We start from the raw sequence: 9631 nt of genomic DNA on the forward strand, positions 1-9631 counted from the left end.
ATCACACTCTGGGGACTGTTGTGGGGTGGGGGGAGGGCGGAGGGATAGCATTGGGAGATATACCTAATGCTCGATGACGAGTTGGTGGGTGCAGCGCATCAGCATGGCACATGTATACATATGTAACTAACCTGCACAATGTGCACATGTACCCTAAAACTTAAAGTATTAAAAAAAAAAAAAAAACCCAGCCCAGTTCATGGCTTGTTTGGCAGCAACCCTGAGACGCTTTACAGTCCTAGACCCTAAAAGGTCAAAAGGCTGTCTTATTCTCAATATACATTTTATTACCCAATCTGCTCCTGACATTAAATAAAACTCCAAAAATTAAATTCCAGCCCTCAAACCCCACAATAAGATTTAATTAACCTCACCTTCAAAGTATACAATAATAGAAAAAAGTTGCAATTCCTTGCCTCCACTGTAAGACAAACCCCAGCCACATCTCCAGCAAACAAGAACTTCCAAACGCCTGAACCACAGCGGCCAGGCATTCCTCCAGAACCTCCTCCCCCAGGAGCTTCCTACAAGTGCCAGAAATCTGACCACCAGGCCAAGGAATGCCCACAGCCCAGGATTCCTCCTAAGCCACATCCCATCTGTGCAGGACCCCACTGGAAATCAGAATGTTCAACTCACTTGGCAACCACTCCCAGAGCCCCTGGAACTCTGGCCCAAGGCTCTCTGACTCCTTCCCAGATCTTCTCGGCTTAGCAGCTGAAGACTGACACCGCCTGATCGCCTCAGAAGCCTACAGGACCAACACAGACACTAAGTAACTCTCACAGTAGAAGGTAAGTCCGTCCCTTTCTTAGTCAATACGGAGGCTACCCACTCCACATTACCTTCTTTTCAAAGGCGTGTTTCCCTTGCCTCCATAACTGTTGTAGGTATTGACAGCCAGGCTTCTAAACCTCTTAAAACTCCCCAACTCTAGTGCCAACTTAGACGATACTCTTTTAAGCACTCCTTTTTAGTTATCCCCACCTGCCCAGTTCCCTTATTAGGCTGAGACACTTTAACTTAATTATCTGCTTCCCTGACTATTCCTGGATTACAGCTACATCTCATTGCCGCCCTTCTTCCCAATCCAAAGCCTCCTTTGCATCCTCCTCTTGTATCCCCCAACCTTAACCCCCAAGTATAGGATACCTCTACTCCCTCCTTGGCGACCGGTCACGCACCCCTTACCATCTCATTAAAACCTAATCACCTTTACTCCTCTCAATGCCAAGATTCCATTCCACAGCACGATTTAAAAAGATTAAAGACTGTTATCACTCGCCTGCTACAGCATGGCCTTTTAAAGCCTATAAACTCTCCTTATAATTCCCCCATTTTACCTGTCCTAGAACCAGACAAGCCTTACAGGTTAGTTCAGGATCTGCGCTTTATCAACCAAACTGTTTTGCCTATCCACCCCGTGGTGCCAAATCCATATACTCTCCTATCCTCAATACCTCCCTCCACAACCCATTATTCTGTTCTGGATCTCAAACATGCTTTCTTTACTATTCCTTTGCACCCTTCATCCCAGCCTCTCTTCGCTTTCACTTGGACTGACCCTGACACCCATCAGGCTCAGCAAATTACCTAGGCTGTACTGCCGCAAGGCTTCACAGACAGCCCCCATTACTTCAGTCAAGCCCAAATTTCATCCTCATCTGTTACCTATCTCGGCATAATTCTCATAAAAACACACGTGCTTTCCCTGCTGACCGTGTCCGATTAATCTCCCAAACCTCAATCCCTTACAAAACAACAACTCCTTTCCTTCCTAGGCATGGTTAGCGTGGTCAGAATTCTTACACAAGAGCCAGGACCGCACCCTGTAGCCTTCCTGTCCAAACAACTTGACCTTACTGTTTTAGCCTAGCCCTCATGTCTGTGTGCAGCAGCTGCCGCTGCTTTAATACTTTTAGAGGCCCTAAAAATCACAAACTATGCTCAATTCACTCTCTACATTTCTCATAACTTCCAAAATCTATTTTCTTCCTCATACCTGATGCATATGCTTTCTGCTCCCCGGCTCCTTCAGCTGTACTCACTCTTTGTTAAGTCCCACAATTACCATTGTTCCTGGCCTGGACTTCAATCCAGCCTCCCACGTTATTCCTGATACCACACCTGACCCCCATGACTGTATCTCTCTGATCCACCTGACATTCACCCCATTTCCCCATATTTCCTTCTTTCCTGTTCCTCACCCTGATCACGCTTGATTTATTGATGGCGGTTCCACCAGGCCTAATTGCCACACACCAGCAAAGGCAGGCTATGCTATAGTACAAGCCACTAGCCTGCCTCTTAGAACCTCTCATTTCCTTTCCATCGTGGAAATCTATCCTCAAGGAAATAACTTCTCAGTGTTCCATCTGCTATTCTACTATCCCTCAGGGATTACTCAGGCCCCCTCCCTTCCCTACACATCAAGCTCGAGGATTTGCCCCAACCCAGGACTAGCAAATTAGCTTTACTCAACATGCCCCGAGTCAGATAACTAAAATACCTCTTAGTCTAGGTAGACACTTTCACTAGTTAAGTACAGTCCTTTCCTACAGGGTCTGAGAAGGCCACCGCAGTCATTTCTTCCCTTCTGTCAGACATAATTCCTCAGTTTAGCCTTCCCACCTCTATACAGTCTGATAACAGACCAGCCTTTATTAGTCAAATCAGCCAAGCAGGTTTTCAGGCTCTTGGTATTCAGTGAAACCTTTATATCCCTTACGGTTCTCCGTCTTCAGGAAAAGTAGAACGGACTAAAGGTCTTTTAAAAACACACCTCACCAAGCTCAGCCACCAACTTAAAAAGGACTGGACAATACTTTTACCACTTTACCTTCTCAGAAGTCAGACCTGTCCTCAGAATGCTACAAGGTACAGCCCATTTGAGCTCCTGTATAGACACTCCTTTTTATTAGGCCCCAGTCTCATTCCAGACACCAGACCAACTTAGACTGTGCCCCCAAAAAACTTGTCATCCCTACTATCTTCTCTCTAGTCATACTCCTATTCACCATTCTCAACTACTCATACATGCCCTGCTCTTGTTTACACTGCCGGTTTACACTGTTTCTCCAAGCCATCACAGCTGATATCTCCTGGTGCTATCCCCAAACTGCCACTCTTAACTCTTGAAGTAAATAAATAATCTTTGCTGGCAGGACTATGCTGAATCTCCTTAGGCTCTCTCTAATCAGATGTCCTGAGTCGTCCCAATTCTTAGACCTTTTATACCTGTTTTTCTCCTTCTCTTATTCCATTTAGTTTTTCAATTCATACAGAACTGTATCCAGGCCATCATCAATAATTCTAAATGATAAATATTCCTTCTAACAACCCCACAATATCACCCCTTACCACAAAATCTTCCTTCAGCTTAATCTCTCCCACTCTAGGTTCCCACGCCGCCCCTAATCCCGCTCGAAGCAGCTCTGAGAAACATCGCCCATTCTCTCTCTCCATACCACCCCCCAAAATTTTCACCGTCCCAACACTTTACCACTATTTCGTTTTATTTTTCTTATTAATATAAGAAGACAGGAATGTCAGGCCTCTGAACCCAAGCTAAGTCATCATATCCCCTGTGACCTGCACATACACATCCAGATGGCCAGTTCCTGCCTTAATTGATGACATTCCAGCATAAAAGAAGTGAAAATGGCCTGTTCCTGCCTTAACTGATGACATTGTCTTGTGAAATTCCTTCTCCTGGCTCATCCTGGCTCAAAAGCTCCCCCACTGAGCACCTTGTGACCCCCACTCTGCCCGCCAGAGAACACCCACTTTTGACTGTAATTTTCTTTTATCTACCCAAATCCTATAAAACGGCCCCACACTTATCTCCCTTTGCTGCCTCTCTTTTCGGACTCAGCCCGCCTGCACCCAGGTGATTAAAAGCTTTATTGCTCACACAAAGCCTGTTTAGTGGTCTCTTCACACAGACACGCATGAAAGTTGCCTTAATGATTTACCACTTCCCTTCGTATAACTCTTTATAATTAAAAAAAAAAACACTTCCTCATTTGATCCTCATAACAATTTTACAAAGTAAGGAGATCAGGTATTATCAACTCAATGAATGAAACTAAGATACTGAGCTTGTGGATTCATTCATCATTCTGTAATACTTATTGAACACTATTTCCAGCAGAGTGGCAGGCTGGAGCTATAGTGGCAAAAAAGAATGCAAGGCCCCTGCTCTGATGGAGTGGGAGACAGAGAATGAATACATAAATAAACAAGATAATTACAGATTTTGATAAATGCTCTTTAGGAAATAAACTGGGTAATATGATAGAAAGTAACTTTGAAGGGATGTGGGGCAGGGGTTACACTCTTAGTTAGGGCATGGCGTCCCTGAACAGGTGATGATGAAACCAACAGTTAAAACTGAGCAGGAGCTGGTTGGGCTGAAGACCTAAACGAGGAGGGTATCAGGAAGCTGTGTATACAGAAGCCCTCACATGGGAAGACACTAGCTGGGTTAGAACAGAAGAGGCTGGGGAGCTAAAGTGTAGTAAGCATGATAGAAAGTGGGGGGCTTATAAAGACATGGGGTCTTACAGACCAGGGGTCAGCAAAGTATTGCTCATTGTGCAGAATCTCACTCGTGAGCAGAATCTGGCCCACAGCCTGCCTGTACAGCTGCAGGCTAAGAATGATTTTTAGCTTTTCAAATCTTTGGGGGAAAAAGCAAAGAATAAAGAGATTGATATATGAAATTAGAGTTCCAGTATATATAAATAAAATTTTATTGGAACACAGCCTCATTCACTTATTTACATATTGCCTATGGCTATTCCAGGATACAAGGGCAGAGTTGAGAAGTAAAACTATTTTAAATGTTTATACTTGGCCCCTTGCAGAAAAAGTGGGTTGATCTCATCATAGACCACGGTGAAACATTTGGATTTTATTCTAAATCCACAGAATCCAGCATCAAAACTATTTTACCTGACATAACAATTCATAGATTGGTGGCATCCAGTGGCCAGCAAAGTAACAGCTAGCATTTGAGTGCTTGTATTTATCAGACACTTTTCTAAGTACTTCACATGTGTAAGCTTTTTAAATCTTCTCACCAACTCTATTCGGTAGAAACTATTATTCCCGATTTATGAAAGAGGAAGTTGAATCTTAGAAAGATTCAATAATTCACACACAGTCACACGGCTCATGAGTGTTAGGGCTGAGACCAGGACCATGTCAGCCTGGTTCCAGAGCCTGGACTAATCATGGAAAATGTTTTTTAAAAGAAACTTCAATGAAAATATTGCAGAAGCCTGAGGTGTCTTGGGGATACTTGGGTTCTTCAGAATACAGTTTGGAAACCACAACTTTCATCTAATCTCATTTATAGATGAAGACGCCAGGGCTGGTCACTTATCTGGGCAGAGCTCCATGAGCTGGGGCCTGAAGCTGGCCCTTGCTATCCTGTGGTATACTCTCCGAAACCACAATTGCCTTCTGAAATCAGCTCATATTTGGGTTGTTTTCAGAATGATCTATTTCACTAGAGTAAATAAAGTTTCTACCCTCACGAAAGCCCAGGTTCACAATAGTAGGTTTTTTCGGCAGAAGTCTTAACAAAAGGTGAATGATGCCTTTCCTCCTCCCGGCACACCCAACCTACCATGGTTCCTGTGGGGATGAGATGCTGCTCCAGCCACCTGAGGTCTGCAGATTTATGGAGAATGTTTTTTGTGCCAAGATGCTGGGTGCTCTGGGTATTATAATATTTTCAATTTAACCATCCATGAGTGCCCCATAAAGAAGGTGTGGCCCCGGGTGAGCTGGTTCTCTTCCACCGAGGGCAAGTATAAAAATTTGAAGTCCTTCAAAGGAATCTCATAGACAAAGAAAAATGTGTGTGTGTGTGTGTGTGTGTGTGTGTGTGTGTGTATCACTGACTCACTGTGTCACTTCAGGCAAACTTCTTAATTCTTTGGGTTTTTTAAATTTTATTTATTTTTTTTGAGACAGAGTCTCGTTCTGTCGCCGAGGCTGGAGGGCAGTGGCGCAATCTCGGCTCACTGCAACCTCCGCCTCCCAAGTTCAAGCAATTCTCCTGCCTCAGCCTCCCAAGTAGCTGGAACTACAGCTACCGTAGTCTGGCTAATTTTTTGTATTTTAGTAGAGATAGGGATTCACCGTGTTGCCCAGGCTGGTTGCAAACCCCTGAGCTTAGGCAATCCACCCATCTCAGCCTCCCAAAGTGCTGAGATTACAGGCGTGAGCCACCACGCCCGGCCAATTCTTCATTTTTAAAAATGCTACAGTCGAACTTTCTCAGCTCCTGCCTTATGATTCCTGGACAGTCACCTCAGGCTGTAATTATTCTTCCCATTTTACAAGTGAGGAAACTGATTCCAACAGGCAGGTAGTGTGCTTAGTGCTACACAGCTGCTAGTGACAGGGCCTAGGGGACAAGCCTGGGTCTGTCTGCTACTCACTCCCATGCTCGTCCCACTAAGCTCCCACTACTGCTAGGAAACTTCTCTCTGAATCAATAATTAATTTCAAAGGCTGCTGCTCTGGCTTAGAAACTCCACAGTCACTTTGTGCAAGTTTTACAGCAGTGCTCAGAAAACCTCAACACTTGGTGTGAGTTATCTGAGGCATCTTCTGGTAGATGCAGGCGAGTCCACCTCTTACTCTGACCTTGGGAAAGGTCACGATTCTTCACAGAATCTGTGAAAGGTCAAGAAGAAAGTGTAGGCCCCTTTTGTAAATGCAACAAAAAAACCCAGTGGCTTCTAGACATAAGGAAATCCCCTGTTTTCTGACCCTTAAAACAGTTCATCTTTAGCCTATTTAATAAATGTCTTATTTTTCATGTTTGCACCCCCCCACCCCCAAAACTCAGGTTGACAAGGGTGACGATGAAAAATAGAGAGGATGTTTGTTTATTTCTCCAAAATATGTCCCCCCTCTGCCACCCCACCAAATGTTATTTCCTATTAGTATTGAAACATAATATGAAGATTTCATAAAACGGAGACCAAAATGACAAACTAGCTATCAGTTGTGAGGTCTCCCACATACTGTTCAGTAGACTCTTTCCCATTAGAAAATAGGTAGACCACTTATTACCTTCCAACCTCGTCTTTTTCTCCCAATTCACTGAGCAGCCACAATCTGCTGCCCTCTCCTGTTGAATACTACATGAGCTGCAGGCTGAAGTGGGGGTAATGAGAACAGGGACCCTGGAAAGCACACATGTATGTCGTCCACCAGTTCACCTTGTAGCATTTCCCCCACCAACCGTTCTTAATGTCCAAGTCCAGTGGACTATTGTGACATTTGTCAAGGTTTTCAACCAGTTGAATATGGCACCCGTGGATGAAAAGGATACACTCTCCATCGTCCAAAGTGCAATTTAAAGTAAGCTCTTCTTTAATGCTCTGGGGAAATTGTAAGTCAAACATCTTTTTAGACTTCAGAGCAAAAAGAGTAGCATTTACATCTCAAATAAAGAGTCAATTTAGTCTTTCATTCACTCGTTGACAACCTATGTCAAGTGTTGTTGTGGGTCAGGTTCCTGGGAAACAGAAGCTGATACAGAGATCCGTGTGCAGAAGTTTATAGATGAGTACTCTTGGTGACAAGAAGGAAGCAAGTTGGAGAATCGGTAGAAGCTGGACTGAGGTGCAGTTACAACAAAGATCTCAGCTGATCCTGATCCCTTGGGGAGCTTCAGAGTTGCTCCACCTCAAGGCAAGGGAAAAGGACCTTGAGACCCCCTCATGGATGCCCTATGGAGGAAGAGTGACCCTGGGTAAACTGTTCTCTTCTACTGAGGACAAGTATAAAAATTAGAAGTTCCTGGATGGAATATTATGAGCAAAAGGGAAAAAATTAAAAAATGAAAAATTTGAAAGACAAAATATTGTGTTTTGGAGGATTTTTTATTTTTATTTTTTTAAGACAGGGTGTCACTTTGTCACCCAGATTGCAGTACAGTAGTGTGATCACGGCTCACCGCAGCCTCAACCTCCTGCATTCAAGCAACCCTTCCACCTCAGCCTCCCAAGTATCTGGGACTACAGGCATGCACCACCATGCTCAGCTAATTTTTGTATTTTTTGTAGAGATGGGGGTCTCACTATGTTGCCCAGGTTGGTCTTGAACTCCTGGCTTCAGATGATCCTCACACCTCAGCCTCCCAAAATGCTAAGATTACAGGCATGAGCCACTGTGCCCAGCCAACAAAATATTTGGAAGACATTTTTGATGAGTAAGACTTTTCCTACCCAAACTTCATCAAATTTATCAGAGTATTAACACTAATTTCAATTAGAGCCAGTAAGTAGTGTTTCCTTTTCATTTTCCAAGCATTGCAGACTGATCTCTGTTTTCTAAACATAAACTTACTAATATTTTACTGTGTGCTCCTGGAAAAACTACATTAAATCTATCTCAATTTGTCCAATTAATGAAAATTAAATACCAGAACTGTTCATATGTACATTGTCTCCCCCACTAGATTATATTCTCCTGAAAAACAAGGAATTTATGTTTTTTATTTGAGCATGTCTCAAAGTAGTGCATACTAGATGCTGTACAGGTGACAAGATGAATGGGTGGATAGAAGGATGGATGGATGGATGGATGGATGGATGGATGGACGGACGGACATATGTATAGATAGATGGGTGGGTAAATGGATGAATGAGTGGGTGAATGGATGAATGCGTGGGTGGATAGATAGATGGGTGGTTGGGTGGATGGATGAGTATTTGCATGTATAGATAGATGGGTGGGTGAATGAATAGGTCATGGACGGATGGATGGATGGATAGATGGATGGGTGAATGGATGGATGGGTGGATAAATGGATGGATGGATGGATGGATGGATGGATGGATGGATGGATGGATGGATGGATAGATGGATAGATGGATGGATAAATAGATGGATGGCTGGCTGGCTGGATGGATGGAGAGATGGATGGATGTGTGGATGAATAGATGGATGGATGGGTGGATGGGGAATGAGTGGGCAGGTAATACATGAGTGAGTGGGTGGATGGAAGGATAAATGGATGGGTGGATGGATGTGTGGGTGGATGGATGGAAGGATGGATGGATGGATAGGTGGATGAATAGATTTGTATTTGTGAGTGGGTGGATGAAAAGATGGGTGGATGGGTGGGTGGACAGATATATAGATTTCAAAAATGAGTATATCTATATGAATGAATGAATTCCTCCCCGACAACAATTATAAATTGATGTCAGCATAGAAATAAAATATTCCCAAAGGTTGAGCAAAAATTATCTAATTGTATTTATCTAATAAACTAGAAAAGTAAAAATAAGGATGACGTCACTACACAGGGACATTTTACAGTATTTCTCCCACCCATGCTCCCTCTAAAAACCTTGCAACTAGTTGATTTACCAGTACTACCCACTTGTGGTAAAACAATTTTTGTCACCAACACATCACTCACACCTCTCTGCCATCAAGATAATACATGTGGTCCCCAAAATGTTCCACCAGGAGGTGTTCTGGGGGCAGCTAACTAAGAGGGGGCTTCCAGACAGATGGAGGAGTTGATACACATGAGGTCACAGATCTACTGCCTCTCCCCCTTTAAAAGAAACTACTCAGCTCCATTTGTCTC

The 9631-nt window shown here is 43.6% G+C and overlaps 1 annotated feature.

Annotated features, from left to right (window-relative positions):
• Positions 3308-3980: an enhancer, noted in NCBI's record as "OCT4-NANOG hESC enhancer chr11:122702884-122703556 (GRCh37/hg19 assembly coordinates)". NCBI's record gives its function as "activates a minimal SCP1, AML or CMV promoter by ChIP-STARR-seq in naive and primed H9 embryonic stem cells {active_cell/tissue: H9 hESC(naive and primed)}" and the evidence as "EXISTENCE:reporter gene assay evidence [ECO:0000049][PMID:30033119]".

This window comes from Homo sapiens, chromosome 11 (genome assembly GCF_000001405.40).
Source record: "Homo sapiens chromosome 11, GRCh38.p14 Primary Assembly".
NCBI classification, from domain to species: Eukaryota; Metazoa; Chordata; class Mammalia; order Primates; family Hominidae; genus Homo; species Homo sapiens.